The 19,594-nt window shown below is 36.9% G+C and overlaps 1 protein-coding gene across 35 annotated transcripts in view, besides 1 other annotated feature; it reads left to right on the top strand.

Annotated features, from left to right (window-relative positions):
• The window catches only part of HMBOX1 (homeobox containing 1), a 163,155-nt gene that overhangs the window by 74,761 nt on the left and 68,800 nt on the right, over positions 1–19,594 (top strand). For 34 of the 35 annotated variants that reach the window (NR_136758.2, XR_001745595.2, XM_047422223.1 and 31 more), the window contains 2 exons: positions 5,167–5,643; positions 15,195–15,280. Coding sequence is in view for 32 of the 35 variants with exons in the window: in XM_047422223.1 (XP_047278179.1) it covers positions 5,167–5,643; positions 15,195–15,280 (563 nt within the window). In the remaining 3 variants the exon portion in view is untranslated. The remainder of the gene's footprint in view (positions 1–5,166; positions 5,644–15,194; positions 15,281–19,594) is intronic. The other variant, NR_136757.2, reaches the window with a different exon arrangement.
• Positions 12,427–13,355: an enhancer, noted in NCBI's record as "NANOG-H3K4me1 hESC enhancer chr8:28834820-28835748 (GRCh37/hg19 assembly coordinates)". NCBI's record gives its function as "activates a minimal SCP1, AML or CMV promoter by ChIP-STARR-seq in naive H9 embryonic stem cells {active_cell/tissue: H9 hESC(naive)}" and the evidence as "EXISTENCE:reporter gene assay evidence [ECO:0000049][PMID:30033119]".

Below are 19,594 nucleotides of genomic sequence, written 5' to 3' on the forward strand. Positions count from 1 at the left end.
AAAAATTTATTTGCTAATGGCTATTTTCAATCTATCAGCCTTCTCTGTTACCATTTCTATTTTCAACTTTGAATTTTGACATTAATTTTAAATTGAATATAAAATTACTTATTATTTTTAACTGCTCAAAGCCTAGAAGTTTCTGAGATAGATGGCTAAGCATTCAGGAGAGTTAAGACGTCTAATGGCTATTGAAAATAGTAAGATGTCTAATAGTTACTGAAATGAATGTAAGCATCATGAAGCCATGAATTTTTGCCTGATTTGTTCCTTGTTGTGTCCTCTGTGCCTTGCACAGGATCTGTTACATAGTAGGCATTCAATAAATGTTACTTAAATGAATGATTTTTGTCTAAGTGATCTCCAGTTTTCTCATTCCACACCTAACTTATATCTCCCTTTATAAATGTGCATGTTTGTACTTGGATTTTTGTCACATATGGTAGAAATAAGATGATCAAAGTATGATTTCATGAATCACAGTGTTTATTGCCATACAAAGAGAATTTTTTCTTGGGTTCACAGTACTTAAAGATGGGGAGAGTAACATAGACAGACTTCACAGGGAATACACTCAATAGATGAGGTACATTAACCACATTATGAATGTGTTCCAAAGCTATTAAAGTGTCTTTGCTCAATTATGATGAAAGGAGGCCTCTGTGTTCAAGTGAAGGCTAAAGGTGGAGGTGTACCTTTACATGAGCAGTTCTTGGGAGAGGCTGGCTTGACCACCATAGCTGAGATCTGAGACCACAAGGAAGGCCCCTCAGTGCTAGAAAATGCTGGCCTGCAAGGTATAAAAGCTTTGAGGCCTGTTGCAGCCTGAGCTCTCTGGTTTTGGAGAAGCTGCTGACAGAGAGTAGCCCTGCCACAGCCTAAGCTCCCAAAGTGTCTGTTAAGCTCTTGAGTGTATATGTATTTTGAAGTCCAGTAGTTGTGACAGTAACTCACATATGCAGTTTGACATGAGGTGACATTCCTGAGAGGATGGAGAGTTCTCTCTCTGATAAAAATATTGTGATTGACCCTAGAGTGTGTTAAATTAGCATGCAGTAAATATCATGTATGCAAAACAAAACTAACCTATTTTGCCTAGTCATTCTAGATAATAAAAATAAAGACAGCAGAATTGAGCTGAAGAAAAAGCTGTTATCCAATAAAATTTTACTGTTGGTGCTTTACAAGTAAGATAGTAATGTCCTTTTTACCTCTGTGATTTCAAGATTAATTATTTGTGAATGCTTTAATCTTCTTTGCTCTACATGTTTGTAGAATTTAGCTTATGAAAGTATATTCTAGACCTCATGCCTTATCCAAGAAGGGTTTAGGTACATATTCAAGTCAGGATAAAATGTATTGTGAAAAGTTATTATTATGGTCTTATGGTATGATATTTTCTTAGAATATCAGTTTATGAACTGAGCCATAATTCCTGAATTTAATTGTTCTTTTATGCCTTAAACACTGTCTGTTATTACAGTGGTGAAATTCTTCTCACATCATTTTCAATTATTGTTGGCCTGAGTCTGCATTCAGATTAGTAATTTAAAGTGAAAGATGTTCCTTATCCTCTGAACAATCCTTGTGCATAAGAAAATTAATTCAATTCTTACATGTTATCTTTTTCTGTTATAAAAGAATTGCTGGTATCATGGACTTAGATGACCTTTGTAGGTCATTTACTGCCATAAATTCGTGATTATATGCTTAAACTAGGTAAATTATGAGAAATAAAATTGTGAAATGCCGGAGTATATGCCTTTGTTTATATTAATACACATTGGAACATTATTCTCAATATCCAGGAGAGCTTCTAGACTCAGCGTTTTCTCAGTAAAATATTGTATCTTCAGTGTCACATGCATGCTTTGATCCTGTTTGTTATGCTCTTAATCACTTTGCTTTGTAGTGATCATATGAATGATCATTCTAGCAATTGTGGATCATTTTGCTTTAGGTTATATTTGCATTAGGAAACTCTCAGTGCAGGGCACAGACATCTAATTTGAACAAGGTGATACATAAAGGGAAATGTATTCTCTGATGAAACAAAACAGCAAGAAGAGCAGGGATATATCAGGGGCTTAGGGATTATTGGAACAAGGGATGTGAGTGCTGCAGAGCTTTCTCCATCGCTCTGTTCCACGTTTCTTGGTATGTCTGCTTCTTCCTCCCATGAACTAGCTGCTTCCATATAATGAGGAATTTACCAGACTAATATCTTCCTGCAACTGAACACAGTTATGGTGACTGTTCATCTTTCCCCTCGTCTGACTAGAAAATTATGGGGAGAGCAAGGTTTGGCTTTCTTCTGTGCTCACCCCACTGGCCAGAAGGTGGGGTATTACGAGTGATAGCCCAAGAACATGTGCTTGGAAAGAATGAGGTGTTCTAAGCAGACAAAGTAAATAGGTGGCCTATTGTTTCTCCTTTTATGACTTGGAATAAAAGTGGTTCTAATAGTCAATGAATCTGAAATGACACAAAATATTAGATTGTTTCATATGCTGTGAAATCTTTAGTTTTGACAATTCTAATTCAAGTGTTAGGATGGATACTTTTCAGTAATAAGTGAAATTCATACAATTTACTTTTGCTTTATGCTAATACAGAGTGCTGCTCCATACAAGGAATGGTTTGAAGAACTGTATATAGATAACTAACTGCTCTGATATGAATACTATAGGAAAATACTATGATTGGGGATTTTTGTCCATATAATAAAACAGTTATTGAAGTCATCTAAAGTAAGATCACTTTATGAAATACTTTGATAACATGAAGACTGAAAATAGCAACAAACAGGTCTACTTCATTTTCAAGGGAAAATAATAATGTTTATGTTTAATTTTTTTCATTACAAAATATTGTGGGGGAACTTAGGCCATCAAGAAAGAATATAATAATCATGAAAATAGGTCTTTTTAAAATCATGGCTAACTTGTTACAAGTGAGTATTGGAAGAAATCAGACCCTAACATTTGTAGGTGTAGAGCAGATACTGTGGCCCATGGGCACAAATGGCCTGCAACATGTTTAGGTCCACAGAATGTGTGTGTTTGGTTTTGTTTTATTTTTATGAGCTTGTTTTAAAAACCAGGAAGATTTCATCTACAGTTCTAGATTTTTCCCTACTTATTTTTAAAAGGATTTGAAAGATAAAACAATCAGTGAAATGGAATAGACTATCCAAAGGTAATGCAGATTCATATGGAAATTGTGTATATGATAAAGGCAGCATTTCACATCGGAGGAGAAGACAGATATTCAGTAAAAACATACGACATCTAGCTGTCCATTTGGGATGAAATAAAGCCCCAATTTTTTATACTTGTTAAGTCAATAAAAATTCTAGATGGAGCAAGGATTTTAAATGTAGAAAACTATTACTAGGACCCCTAGGTTCATCAGTAATTAGAATAGTTTTATCTAAATGGCTTTAAATGAGACTTAAAGGAGTAGAATAGCCTGTGTGCCAAATCATATGTTTCCAGTTAAGTCCTGCAATGTATTGTAAAGGAGAATGATGTGTGCTTTTGGAGTCAATAAGATCTAGGCTTAAATCTTTTTCCTACTGTTTACTCAGATTTTTTGTGAAGTACAAAACTACACTGAGCTTTAGTTTCCTCAACAATCAATCCATCAACATAAAATGAAATGAATAAAGAACATCTACCATGGGGAGTTGCTGTGAGAATTGGATGAGATTATGTTATGTGAAATTCGTACCCAGTTCCTGCCTAGAAGTGACTGTTAATAAAGTTTTCATGTAGAAGGACAAAGAAACAGTGAGACCTTCAATAGCTATAGGACACTGGCCCAGAGCAGATGTTTGTTTGAGAAAGATGAAGAAATTTCTTGACATCTGTTTCCATCTGCAAACACTTATTGAGAGCCTACTGCATGCCATGCATTATATTTGGCACTAGAACAATAAATATCAAAATAGAAGAGATTACAACTTTAAAAAATCTTGAATGGAAAACTCAGGTCTTATAAGAAAGGAATTCAAGGCCGAGCATGGTGGCTCACACCTGTAATCCCAGCACTTTGGGAGGCCGAGGCGGGCGAATCACCTGAGGTCAGGAGTTTGAGATCAGCCTGGCCAACATGTTGAAACCCCATCTCTACTAAAAATATAAAAGTAGCCAGGCTTGGTGGCAGGTGCCTGTAATCCCAGCTACTCAGGAGGTTGAGGCAGGAGAATCGCTTGCACCCAGGAGGTGGAGGTTGCAGTGAGCCAAGACTGCGCCACTGCACTCCAGCCTGGTTGACAAGAGCAAAACTCTGTATCCAAAACAACAACAACAACAACAACAAAGGGATTCAAGCAGTGAGAATTTTTATAGTATTTGACTACTCCCTTAATATTGTTACTCACCCTAAGAAAACATTTTCTGATGTGCTGTAGTATCTTGTGCTAGTTAAAGGAAACATGTAAAAGTAATTTCCTAAGAAAAATGAATAGCATTGTTTGGCTACAACCATGAAAGATCTATTTCTCAGGGTAGCTATTAAGAGAGAATGCATTACCAGAGATGGAAAACTTAGGAAATTGCTAAGTAGTGAATGAAATGGTGCTTATTTTTTTTTTTAATGTACCTCTGTTTTCCACTTAAGTATTTTTGCTGGTTATTAGCATTTGCTTGGACTTAGCTTAGCAAATCATTTGTTCTCACTAAATGAGGTTGTAGAGAATTCCTAGGTCTGTTTAGCTAATATTTGGTAAATAATATAATACAAACTATTTTTTTCAGTAATTTTCCATTAATACTCTAATGTAGAGTAATACACTTGAGATGGGCAAAACACTTCTGAGTTATCACGTAGCCTGGGCTTATTGCACTCCATGTACCTAATCTATTGTTCTGGTATTATTTACATAACTAAAATTTTGGTTCTGATATTTACCAAAATTGAGGAAAATGTAAATTGTATGCCATATGAAATTAGGTTTTATGTTACACCTATGTTCACCTACTAATACATTTAGTATCTGTACCAATCCATTTGCCATGGCACAATCATTCTAGCATGGGACATACCTTCATTTTCAATACAGAAGCTTATGTAGAAATATTGCATCTTCTGAGCATTCTGTATAATATGTGCTTTGGTAGATACTGTCAATAAAGAGACTTCTTTTTATCTCTTTTTTTTTAGTTTGCTGGAAACCATGTCTCATTATACAGATGAACCCAGATTTACCATAGAGCAGATAGATCTGCTTCAGCGACTTCGGCGTACTGGAATGACTAAACATGAAATTCTCCATGCCTTGGAAACTTTGGACCGTCTTGATCAAGAGCATAGTGACAAGTTTGGAAGAAGGTCCAGCTATGGAGGAAGTTCATATGGGAATAGTACTAACAATGTCCCAGCATCTTCCTCTACAGCTACAGCTTCCACACAGACGCAGCATTCGGGAATGTCCCCGTCACCTAGCAACAGTTATGATACTTCCCCACAGCCTTGCACTACCAATCAAAATGGGAGGGAGAATAATGAGCGATTATCTACATCCAATGGAAAGATGTCACCAACTCGCTACCATGCAAACAGCATGGGTCAGAGGTCATACAGTTTTGAAGCCTCAGAAGAGGACCTAGATGTAGATGATAAAGTGGAAGAATTAATGAGGTTAGTGACTTTGCTTATTCAGAGTCCCTAAAAATGTCTGTATTCTTAGATTGTTTTTAAGTAGTATGCTGCGTTTCAGCTACTTAGCTATAAGAACTGTAACTTCCTCTAGCTATAAGAACTGTAACTTCCTCCTCCCACCTTTGGAGATGAAAGAAAGAAAGTTCAAGCTTTATGTTTTTAATTTAAATTTTCTCTTCTTTACTTCAGCCCTTTCTCTTTGCTGCTTGACAAGCCTTTTCCATTCTGTTTATCAAACACTAATCTTCTCTATGACTCTAATAGCTAATTTCTGACTAACAGACACATTCTAATCCTTAAAAATCTGTTGTAAGTACTTTTTCTGAGGGATAATTTTATCTTGATCAGAATATGTACACTCTTAATTTTTCTGTTCAACATTCCAATCAAGAAAATAATTTGGGGTACCTATTATATAGGTTCTAATTTTAGCAATAGATGACACACACACACACACACACACACACACACACACACACACACACACACATTGTCTTTTATAAGTGTAAGAACTTAGAGTTTTAAACACTGAGAAAAGAAATCTACTTTTTTTTTTTTTTTTTTTTTTGAGACAGAGTCTTGCTCTGTATGCCCAGGCTGGAGTGCAATGGCGTGATCTCGGCTCACCACAATCTCTGCCTTTCCAGGTTCAAGCGATTCTCTTGTCTCAGCCTCCCGAGTAGCTGGGGTTACAGGCATGCACCACCATGCTGAGCTATTTTGTATTTTTAGTAGAGATGGAGTTTTTCCATGTTGATCAGGCTGGTCTCGAACTCCTGATCTCAGGTGATCCACCCGCCTCGGCCTCCCAAAGTGCTGGGATTACAGGCATGAGCCACTGCACCCAGCCGAAAAGAAATCTGCTTTCAACAGAAGTAATTAGGAAAGGCTTCACACTGGACCCTGGGACACTTTGAGGGTAACAGCATGTGTTTTCCATTATTGTGCCTCCAGGATCTGGAACTTTCCCTAGCACATGTTAAGGGCCTGATATGTTTAATGAATGGGTGACCTTGACCTAAATGGTAAAGAATAGCATTTGTTTTAAAATACAGGAAATGTATTTAAAATTAAGGGAATAGTAAAGGGTAAGAAAGGCAAGGCATGTCTTCAGTCTGATAAAAATTACTGATGGGTAAGACAATGTAATATGAATAATATATTAGGAGACAAAACAGGTTTTGGGAGACTTTGAGTTCCATACTAGTTTATTTACTTTTGTTGGAATTGAGGAGTTTTGTAAAAACTCCTCTAGGAATAGAGATGATAAAGGTATTGTTTTCAGTAGATTTCCACTACAGTAGAAGGGAAAGAGCCTGCAGATAAATTAGTTACAGTAGATTATGAAAGAAACTGTAACAGGAATTTGTCAGAAATAAAAATAGTACCTATAAGTATCATTATAATTCTTCCTAAAGATTTTTAAACTTCAAGATGGAATAATAGTGACACATAATAATATTGCCACATGGAAGATATGTCCAATAGTACCACAATGTTGAAATATCCTTCAAACTGTCCTGAATTTATTTTTAGGTGCAACTTTATTATATGAAATTCTGTGCTAAATCAACTATTTTATCTGGATTCCAGATACAGTATAAATAAAGTATAATATTAATACCTGTAATGAATAATTTGATACAGCAGTTACAGTTACAAGTCATTGTTTTGTTTGGTTTGGTTTTTTGAGACGGAGTCTTGCTCTGTCACCCAGGATGAAGTGCAGTGGTGCGATCTCGGCTCACTGCAACCTCCGCCTCCTGGGCTGAAGTGATTCTCCTGCTTTAGCCTCCTGAGTAGCTGGGACTGCAGGCGTGTGCCACCATGCCCAGCTAATTTTTTTTTTAAAGTTAAAAATATAAGAGATCAGTTTGACTTTGAATTCTTTTTCATGTGTTAAAGTAGGTGACCAAAGTTCAGGTGTTGCTTTTGAATTTAATGTTGTTACGATTAAGAGGGAGAACAATTTGGGCAAATAAAAGTTACTTCGCTCATTGAAATGTAACAAGATTAGCTTTTAATTATTCTAAGTAGAGAGGATATCAACAATTTAAAAAGGATGCCAACCTGGTTTTTTCGGTGTTGTTGCTGTTCATCAGTTTTGATAAGCTTTTGACATAACAGTTAATTCTTAAATGTGTATAAGACTAACAAGAAGTATGGGAAAACTTGTTAGTAAAAGTCTCTAGAAGATTGTCTGGAATAATAAAGGTCTAAAAACTTGACTTTTAACTCATAGCCTGACATAATGTTTTAATTCAAATATATGCTCAAAATAAATGAAAACCTATTTAGCAGTGACTGGGATTTGTAGTTAAATCCCATAATTACACCCATTCCAGTTTCACTGTGAAATATATACAGGTTTATACTTTGTTATCAGTATTTATGTACTACCACTTGTCGCATAATCAGGACACTTTATCTTTTTCCATTTCTCTGCTTCTTTATTAGAACTGCTCCTTTGGGTTCTCCTGATCATCTTGGGGTCTCAGTGGCCCTTCTGGATCTCTCTGGTTCTCTGCCATTGCACCCTCACCCACTGCTGCACTCCTGCTTTCCTCCATTGTGTCCCCCTCTCACGATTCTCAGGTTGTAGATAATAACAATCCTTGGATCAGTGGGAAAGTTTATTGGATCACATTGTCACTTATAATCATTAAAACCATGATGTGAGGTTGATCAGAGAAACTGAAATTCACAAAAATTAAATACTTTGCCCAAGAGAACTTCAATATTAAGTGGCAGAGCCTAAATTATGTCTTTATTATCAATATGTCACTGGTGTACATTCCCTCTCCAAATAAATTTTTCATATCTGTAGATTTTAATAAGATTTTAGGAAAGGTGGTTAATTAACATAAGACAAAGTATGAATTGCCTTAATGGGCTTCACATCCCCCTCCCCCATGATATTTGCTGCTTCAAAACAATCACTTACCACATGAATTTTTATTTAGTGGAATGTTAGAGAAATATTTTGAGCAGTGGATCTTTCTGAGTATTCTGTGCCCTTTTAGGAATATACTGCCCTTGCTGATCACTAGATGCTATGGTGATATGATAGCCCGTTGGAAGTGGTAGTCTCTGGTGGGGGAGCCTGGGTATCTGAATGCTTTCCTGTCTCCTTTTCTACCTGTGTGCTTCACCTCTTGCTTGTTCACATTCCTCAACTCATACACAAGATGTAGTTTTAAAAATCTTATAATTCGTTGACTTCACGAACTTCACTCCTAATAATTTCGAGATACATAATGGAGTTTTTTTTTTTTTTTTTTTTTTTTTTTTTTTGAGACAGTCTCGCTCTGTCACCCAGGCTGGAGTACAGTGGTGCAATCTTGGCTCACTGCAACCTTCGCCTCCCGGGTTAAAGCGATTCTCATGTCTCAGTCTCCCTCGTAGCTGGGATTACAGCGTGCACCACCACCCCCAGCTAATTTTTGTATTTTTAGTAGAGACGGGATTTTACCATGTTGACCAGGCTGGTCTCAAACTCCTGGCCTCAAGTGATCCGCCCACCTTGGCCTCCCAAAGTGCTGGGATTACAGGCATGAGCCACTGTGCCCAGCTCATAATGGAGATTTTTTTGTAGAACTTCATCAAGTTGTAATTGTACACCTTATCGACTCATTAAGAAACAATGAAAAAGTAACTTTCACTTTTTTCATTTTTGAGTTAGGGTTGGGAAAAAAAGGTAAATTACGATATGAATTTAACAGATTGTTGAATATAACATTTTAGGAAGGACTTTAAAGCCAAAAATAAAGACCTGTTTTACGTTTTAATGTTTAAAAATGCATCTATTAATATATAAATATATGTGTAGGGGTATGTGTGTATACATATCTGCTAATATAGCATATAGATACTAATGTGTGTTTCATGTACATATTATGAAATAATTTAAATGAGGCTTATCAGAATTTATTAATAATGCCATACATTAAGGATATTATTCTTAACAACCCATGTACTAAATTTTATGATATGTTAGTATTTTGTATAAAACTGAGGCTTTATTCTAAGTTGATTATCTATAGGCTAAGTATTTTACTTGCCTAAGTAGGATGTGCATGTTCTGTAGATAAGACAAAATGGTCATGATCTCCAGTTACTATGTTATTGATACATATTTAGTAACTTTTATTTTTGAGTGATTTTTTAAAATTTAAAGTTATACTTTGTCTCCATAGGTGAAAATGTATGGGAATAGGTTTTATTCAAACATGAAAGAAATTTGTACATCATTGTATTTTTCCAAGTGTGAAATAGTCTGTCCTGGCAGGTGTTGCTTCATCTCTGAAAGTCTGTCAGATAGATGATTACCTTTAAGAGATCCTAAAGAATGTGCAGTGTATATTAACTATGAAAATATGGAAGATCTTAAAGCATATCATTTTTAAAACAGGTGGTCTTTATTATTCTTTGTTCTAGAAAAGGAAGCAATGTCATTTCGAGCTACTATAAATAATTCTTTTCCTTTCTGATTTGGTAAGCTTAAATCTATTTAAGAATAAAAATTTAAAGCTGTTTTATAAATTATCTAGATCAGGCTTTCCATTTTACAACCTTTTATCTCCAACTACAGAACTGTTCCTTCATTGAACAAATTAAGCTCTATTATATGCAAACCCCATAATTGAATAAGGCACCATCTTTGTGCTGAAGGACTAAGGACTTTACAGGGTAGTAGGAGAGATGAGACAAGATTAGGAACAACTATAATACAGAACAGCATGTAATATATTAGCATGCGAGTAGTAGTATTGAAATGTTAAAGTTAGCCATTGCAAGAAGAGACCTTTTTTAGCTTTGAAGATCAGGGAGAACGTCTTTGAATAGATGACAGTTAAATTGTGTCTTAGTAAAAGGGGATTCAACCAACAGGCATAACTGATGAATTCATCCAGATATTAAGAAAGGTCTGTAAGTAACAGTGAAAGTTTAGCAAGTTATAAAAATAATGGCAATGGAGGGTGGGAAGGAAGAATTTCATCCTGGTGTGGAAATCACCCAGATGAATCTAGCATGGCAATGACTTGAAAAAGGGAGTAGGAGGCAATGACATGGACTTGAACTGGTTAGTTGCAAATCAGGTGGGTATCTTATCTTGAAGTAAGTAAGCTGTGGAATCAAAGACAAGATCAGCCCGCTCTTCACTTTAATTCCCTAAGATTTGAGGCATAGAAATCTTGAAGAGTGTGAGATTTTGTAAGAGAAGAGAGGAAGGAGGGGATTTATTCTTTTTAAGGAGGATGTAAAATTGCAGATGAAGAGAGGAAGTGAGGGGTGGGAGAAGATGAGAGAATTAGATTTAGAGTAAATGAAGTTTTCACACTACCAAAGTGGTGATTTCATAGATTACAATGAGGACAATAGGAGTAGCAGGTCCTTAAAGAAGGCTGAATGAGGAGAGAATGAGGGTCGGGGGTGATGTCAAAGTTTGAACAACAAAGCTAACCCACTAGAATGGAACTTTTAAAAATACTTAAGAGAATTGGACACAATGAAAATAGAATGCATTTAGTATTTTGAAAATACCTAGTGAAACCAACTAAATGACACATCACTGCTTGCCTATAGAACTCTTTTAATGCTACCTTAAAGTACCTGGTACAGATGTTTACTTTGGTCTTATATGATTACAGCAGATCGTTTGTTTCTTCCTTTCTTGGGAACCTTTCTGAAGTTTCATAAAATAATAGTCAATGTTTAGTATTTTTACAATTTAAAAAAAAATTTTGCAATGAATTTTTGATTCTATGTATTACAGACATATATATACAAACAATATTTAATTTCATTGCTAGGAGACAAATTTTAAAAGCCTTGTGAAGGGAGTATTGATGCTTTTTGTTGTTGTTGTTGTTGTTAGATGGAGTCTCACTCTGTTGCCCAGTGGCGCAATCTTGGCTCACTGCAGCATCCGCCTTCTGGTTTCAAGCAATTTTCCTGTCTCAGCCTCCCAAGTAACTGGGATTACAGGAGTGAGCCACTGCACCTGGCCAGTGCTTTTATTTTATCAGATGATACAGCCAGGGCCCAGCTTTGTTAAATGACTTGCCAATGCACAACCTTATCTTTTAAGTCTTTTGTTTTGCTTTTTGATAAAGCTCTCTGGTAAAACAGTGAAGAGCTTTTTATTTCTTTTCTTTTCTTTTTTTTCTTTTTTTTTTTTTTTGAGATGGAGTCTCACTTTGTCACCCAGGTTGGAGTGCAGTGGCACGTTTTCGGCTCACTGCAACCTCCGCCTCTGGGGTTCAAGCGATTCTCCTGCCTCAGCCTCCTGAGTAGCTGGGATTACAGGGGCATGCCACCACACCCAGCTATTTTTAAAATATTTTTGGTAGAGACGAGGTCTCATCATGTTGGCCAGGCTGAACTTGAACTCCTGACCTCAAGTGATCCGCCCGCCTCAGCCTCCCAAAGTCCTGGGATTACAGGCGTGACCCACCGTGCCTGGCTATTTCTATGTTTTTAAACATTATTGGTACTTAGAGACTTGTCAAATATCTAAAAATGTGAATTGCTACTGTTTGACAGATTTTTGGGATTCCTTCTGTTTTGTGCAGTCCTTAATAATATCGTGCTGCAAGGCTGTGAATAATTTACAAACTGGATATTTCCTATTTCAATAATTGAGTGTTATCTCTTCTGTATGATTTAGTGTCCAGATGAATTTAATTTAAAATAAATGGATTTAAATGACAATGTAAATTAGTAGTCAAAAAACCCATTTAATTCTTTTCCCCCACAAAAGTACATTCTTTTATTTAACCTGAATAAATATTCTCTTAAATTCAGCTTCATTTTCGTAGGTCATTCTATATATAGAAATGCAATACTTTATTTAAAAAGTTTCAGATTAATTTTATAGTTATATTAGAAACCAAATGATTTGTTTTATTTATATAAGCCAATTGAAATAGTGCTGAAGTTATCTCTTGTACACTGATTATTGATGCATATTTGAAAGCTTTTGTTCTACATTACCTGCATTTTAGTCAGCAGTTATTTTGTTTGACTTTAAAATATATTTATTTGTACCTTTTTCTTTTTCATATACACAATTTTTAAATAAAATGTGAATGCATATTTGTCAAAGAAATATTTCAGGCCGGGCGCGGTGGCTCACGCCTGTAATCCCAGCACTTTGGGAGTCTGAGATGGGTGGATCACGAGGTCAGGAGATCAAGACCATCCTGGCTAACACGGTGAAACCCCGTGTCTACTAAAAATACAAAAAAAAAATTAGCCGGGCGTAATGGCGGGCGCCTGTAGTCCCAGCTACTCGGGAGGCTGAGGCAGGAGAATGACGTGAACCCGGGAGGCGGAGCTTGCAGTGAGCCAGTATCGCGCTACTGCACTCCAGCCTGGGCGACTGAGCGAGACTCTGTCTCCAAAAAAAAAAAAAAGAAAGAAAGAAAGAAATATTTCAAATATAGACAGTCATTTTGGGAAGAATCTAACCAGAATCTAGATCAGTATGAGAAATTTTACTGCATTAGGCAGCTGATTAATTTTTTCCTTTAGGAATATTTTTGATCAGGATTTCCAACTGATAGATCAGCAGTATACTGTAGAGCTACAGATTGGAAACTCACCACTATGACCTCTCTGTTTTTTTCCAGAATTCCCCAAAGGGAGCATGGTCTTACAACAGAGTCCTTTCAACAGAGCATGTAACAACTGCTCATCAGGGAGCTAAAATCCCTCATCCAAGTTAAATCACAACTCATTGTTTTTGAATAGGATACTTCAGTTTCTCCAAATAGTCTACAGAGAGATGTGAACCCCTAGAAAGAGTTTGTGCTTCTTTCACAAAACAATTGTTAAGGTTTTGTGATCCTTTGTCTCAGATCAGGGGTCAGCAAACTTCTTCTCTAAAGGACTAGATAGTAAAAATTTTAGACTTTGTGGCCAAGAGGCAAATTTAAGGATATAATGAAGAGACGTAGGCTGGGCGCTACTGCTCACGCCTGTATTCCCAGCACTTTGGGAGGCCAAGGCAGGAGGATCACTTGAGGTTAGGAGTTCGAGACCAGCCCGGCCAACCAACATGGTGAAACCCCGACTCTACTAAAAATGCAAAAATTAGCCGGGTGTGGTGCTGCATGCCTGTAACCTCAGCTACTCAGGTGGCTGAAGCAGGAGAATTGCTTGCGCCCGGTAGGTGGAGCTTGCAGTGAGCCGAGATTGCGCCACTGCACTCCAGCCCGAGCAACAGAGTGAGACTCCGTCTCAAAAAAAAAAAAAAAAAAAAGAGGATGTAATGTAGAGATATATACAAGACAGAAAACAAACAGCCACAAATTTTTATTGACAAAAGTCAATACAGAATAATAATAATTGGGTACAGTTTTTAAAAATACAGGCCTGCTAGTCAGAAGAATGAAATTGCAGGGGGAGGGATAATATTTTGCTTAGTATGTGTTTATCGTTAGCATTTTCTGTCGTCAAATTGATTGCAAATGTCCATCTGTGAAAATGATCCTTAGCTCATAGGTTGTATAAAAATAGGTGGCAGGCTAGAATTAGCCCATAGGCGGTAATTTGCTGACCCCTGTGTTAGATAAGAAGTTACCTCTATTCTATGTTACTTTTGAGCTTGAACAGAAACCACTGCTCTGTTTATGTAATCCTTTTGAAAATAAAGCATTGAAAGAGAGATTGGTCGGTTTTAAGAGTTTAACTATAATTTTTGTTTATTCTTGTTCTGGTGGAAAAACAGAAGTCTTGCCACTCATTGTCATTTTTGTGAATGTCTGGTCTTTTGAGAATTTGTTGAGTCTAAGTAAAAATTTGTAACAGGCATTTTAGTGGAGGAAAAATGAGGTCTATAATGTATTCCCATGAACACAGAATATTATGTAGTTTTAAGTATTCTTATATATAATACAAAATGTATAAATGCCTTTTTAGTACTAAAACTTTATATTCAACGGATCCCACTTTAAATTTTTTGTTTATACAGGAAAAGAAGTTAAAGAGCAAGCCTTTCTTCAAATGGCTAACATTTTTACGGTTGTGAGAATGATGATTGCTTTTTCCTTAATCATTTTAAAGGTTTTTAAATGAACATTATTCATGCAGTTGTGTAGTTAACATGCGAGCCCACAATCTGCTCACAACTGAATTTGTTGTTGTTGCTCTTTATTTTTCTAGGATTTCTGTCTGTGTAAGATATATTCATTCCCCAGTAATGAAACTTTGTATATACCATATGACAGCCTTGTTCCTAATGTGAATTATACAGAGCATGTGATTAACCATCCTCTGGTATGAGACATATCTATTGTGGTCTTCACTAAAGCGTCTGTTTGATGGTGTGATGTTTTAGGACTTGAATATTTGGTGTTTCTTGGTTCATTGTAATTTCATATTTTCACACAAGTTTGGTCTGTTTACCCTTTATTTTTGTGTCCTTTCTGTGTTCTCCCCACCTCTCTGCTTCACCTTTCTTTTAGCAAAGATGAGGATTTCTACCTTCAACATACATTGTTGGTCTTGTCTTCTGTTTTTGTTAGGAGGGACAGCAGTGTGATAAAAGAGGAAATCAAAGCCTTTCTTGCCAATCGGAGGATTTCCCAAGCAGTTGTTGCACAGGTAACAGGTAAGAGCTGAAGAGCCCTTTATTCTGGAATCATGTGTAGTCTCTGCCTTCTGGTGCAGATGTTGGAATATTGCTTGCATTTCTGCATTGCAGTGCAGATCTGTCAACTTAGGCATAATTATGTATGCCTGTGATTTAAAACCCATTGTCTCCAATATCGCCGAACTTCTCTAGTGATTTTTTTGACTTGTGCTAGTAAATTTTATAGCATTTTTAATAAGCACAAAATTCCCTATTTTGTGGCTAGAAAAGGTTCCTATAGTTTGCTTTTGATTGTGACAGAGCATATGACACATGCACATCCAACTGCTTTCTATACTACATATTTTTAAAAGCTTTGTAATCCTCCAAGTATAATCCCTGATTATACCAGTTAAAAAATGATTCATGAGGGTAAAGAAAGTTGTTTTTTAAACCACTTTTCCATATGTAAAAGCATTCCTTGAAACATTACTGAGAAGAGTCACCATTGTCTTCTCTTTGTTCTTTATATCCCATCCCATTCTCCACCCCCACCTAAGCCCCATCCCTAGTATGTGGTGTATATGTGTCATTCTCTATTCAGATTGCATTTTTTAATGACGTTCTTAAATTTGGGGGCAGATGTCTTTTCCTTGTTAATGTGTGATCTTCCTTTCTTAGATTTCAGTGATTTATAAGACCCTTAAAAAAAGTAACTGGGCATTAGTCGTTAGAAGAACCGGACACTCTTTTCAACTACATTTTGTAGTTGCAACATTGTTGTACTTTGCATATTGATAGATATAAAAATTAATTCTCCCCTCCTTTTGTTAACATTCTACTAGCTGGCTATGTGAATTTGGGCTTTTTAGCCTCTGTGCCTCAGTTTTCTTCCTGCTACAATGAAATACTTGGATCTGATCTTCAACAATAACTTATGATTTAAAGATATTATTTCTGTTCTCCAGACCATGATACATACTGAAGCTAATTTACCTAAAAGGTTGTTACTGGCCATTAATTTGGTTAAAAATGAAACACCAGAGTTTAGAAGTCTTATATTTCATCCCAAGTATCTAAGGTCAGCCAATCTTTTATAGTGTGTGTGTTTAATATATTACACTAGTAATATATTTTTATAAATGACACTTCTGCTTATGGTAAAATACTTTAGTTAAAGGTGTCCTTCGGTGTAGAAGTCTTATACCAAAGGACAGTGCGTTAGTTTAATTGTTGTAGTATTTAGGTGTTTTTCTGTAGGATATTTAAAATATGTTGTTAACCTTTATCTTCAAGGACCAAGTTATGGTTCTTAATGCAATGTAAGGACAAGTCAAGCAGGTTTTAGTGAAACTCACTGATGTGGACTTTGAAAAGATGAAATGTTGTCTTTCAGTACTTACATTTCAGCCTCCATTACTAGAAGCAATAGTATCTTCCAGTTTGCCAGCCTAAAACTAAAAAGACAAAATTTTAGTGTTACAGAATAGCATTGCAACGCTGATTTTTTTTTTTCAGGTAGAAGCATTTCTTAGTACTTTGAATTCCCTGAATCTTGAATCATTTAGGACTTTTAAAATAGTAGCTTTGAAACCCATCCAATCTTAATTAATGCAAATCATAGTAACATATGTTTAAAAAGCATTTCTTGAGCATATCTAAAGGCATGGAATAAACCATAATGGGTTAAACATGATACATTAAATATAGTATTGCCTTTTTTGGAAAGGGAAACTGAAAGATATGTTTTCCCATCTTGCTGTTCAAAATATAGTACATGGAACAGCATTATTGGCATCACCTGGGAGCTTGCTAGAATCGTAAAAATACTGAATACTGGCCGGGCGTGGTGGCTCACACCTGTAATCCCAGCACTTTGGGAGGCCGAGGCAGGCAGATCACGAGGTCAGGAGATCAAGACCATCCTGGCTAACACGGTGAAACTCTGTCTCTACTAAAAACACAAAAAGCCAGGCGTGGTGGCGGGCGCCTGTAGTCCCAGCTACTCGGGAGGCTGAGGTGGGAGAATGGCGTGAACCTGGGAAGCGGAGCTTGCAGTGAGCCGAGATCGCGCCACTGCACTCCAGCCTGGGCGACAGAGCGAGACTCTGTCTCAAAAACAAAAACAAAAAATACTGAATACTGCTCTAAATGTGCTGAAACATAATTTACATTTTAACCAGAAGCCCAGGTGATTTCTGTTTGAGAAATGCTATTCTAGGAGACTGGTAAACTTTACTGACTTTAACTTCAGTGGATTGGCATTACCTCACTCAGTAATGGTCATGATGATGCCATCCCGTTTTTATTTTTGTTTTGTTTTTACTTTTTTGTTTGTTTGTTTGTTTGAGACAGTTTCTTGCTCTGTTCCCGAGGCTGGAGTGCAGTGGCCAGTGATCATGGCTCATTGCAGCGTCCACCTCCTAGGCTCAAGTGATCTTCCTATATCAGCCTCCTGAGTAGCTGGGACTACAGTTGTGCACCACCACACCCGGCTAATATTTATTTTTTACTTTTTTTTTTTTTGAGTTGGAGTCTTGCTCTGTCGCCCAAGCTAGAGTGCAATGGTGCGATCTCAGCTCACTGCAACCTCCGCCTCCTGGGTTCAAGCGATTCTCCTGCCTCAGCCTCCCAAGTACCTGGGATTACAGGCACTTGCCACCACGCCCAGCTAATTTTTGTGTTTGTGGTAGGCGGGGTTTCACCATATCGGCCAGGCTGGTGTCGAACTCCTGAGCTCAGGTGATCCACCCGCTTCGGCCTCCCAAAGTGCTGCGATTACAGGCATGAGCCACTGTGCCCAGCCTATCTTCTACTTTGTGTAGAGATGAGGTTTCACCATGTTGCTCAGGCTGGTCTTGATCTCCTGGGATTACAGGTGTGAGCCACCGCACCCGGCTATCATCTCCTGTTTTCGCAAGCAAGAACTGAAAATACATTTACACATTTATTATCTATTGTACCACGTGGACCTTTCTTTTGCTGCCATATCTATGGGATTTGGTATTGTTACAAACTTCTTTCACCATTTTCAGCCTCACCCTAACTTGTTCTTCCTCCTCTTCATTTCTACTCCAAAAGCTTGCATTCATCTTCCTTTGATCAGATATCTTCTGATGATTCTCCATTGTCTAAAAAATGAAATTTCTTTTAATCTGACTCCAGCCTTTTCGTTTGTTGCCATCCTCTATTCAGTATGCCCCCAGCTGAATTTCACTATTTGCCATTCCCAGAATTCTGCCCAGTTGGATGCTCCCAGAGTTTTGGTTGTGCCAAAGATACCTTTCACCTCCTCATCTCAGCCTTATGAATTTCTGTTTATCAAGATTATCTCTGTTGTTACCCTCATTTTAACTTCTTGACCAATTTAGTCCTTGCAGACCTCTCTTTTTTTCTGAAATTAATTACACTTAGTTCATCACCCTGAGGTGTAGTACTCATTTTAATTATGCATTTTAGAGCAATGTTCTTCAGGAGTGACCTTTCCTTACACAAAGAGTCTAGCATTGTGCAGGTACTCTGAACTTTCCATGTTTACCTAGCTACCTTGTAGTGTAAGAGGAGAACAGGTGATGCTGACACAAGCTATACATGTGAAAATTTGTCCAGTGTGACTTTCTTCAGTGGTGTGCCCTCTCCAAAAATAATAATTCATTTGCTCAACAAATGCTGTGTGAATTTTTGCCCTTAAGGAGCTTGCATTTTTCCTTTATCTACTTCAGTTGTTTATATCAGGCCTGGGGAATGAGGATGATTGATAACCATATTGGTTCATTGTCCTGTTGGTCAACTTACTGAACTCCTATGTTTTTTGTGTATTATTGTGTTACATTTTTTACCCAGACTGCCCAGCCATCAAGCTAAACTCAGGGGCAAGGCTTCTCTTTGCAGAGAAGAGATCCAGCTAGAGAATAGTGAGGTAGTAGAACTGAATAAAGCCTTGTCCTCGTAATTGGTCTAACTTAGGTTAGAGTGAGTCTGAGTATGGAAGCCTTCTGGTCACCTAGAGCTCACTCCCTGCAGTACCTCATCAGTGTATATACGCATTTTTCTGTCTTTAAACAAATTAGTCAAGTGTATCTTCAAAGAATATGTACCTGATGAAATCTACCTTAAGGTTTAGGATGTGGTTCTCCTGAATCTTACAACAAGTTCTCTTAAAAAGATTTAAGTTCAACTCTAATATGTGAAATAAGTCAACCTTGAGATAAAAATGAGAACGAGTGGTGCATAACAAAAGAAAATGCTAAATAAAAAGTGTAATGAGGTGCAAAATTATAACACATGTGCTTGTTCCAGAAACAAATACAGAGGTTTCTTTTTATAGATTCAGAGGATTTCTATTATAAGATA

The sequence above is a fragment of the Homo sapiens genome, chromosome 8, assembly GCF_000001405.40.
Source record: "Homo sapiens chromosome 8, GRCh38.p14 Primary Assembly".
Taxonomy (NCBI): Eukaryota; Metazoa; Chordata; class Mammalia; order Primates; family Hominidae; genus Homo; species Homo sapiens.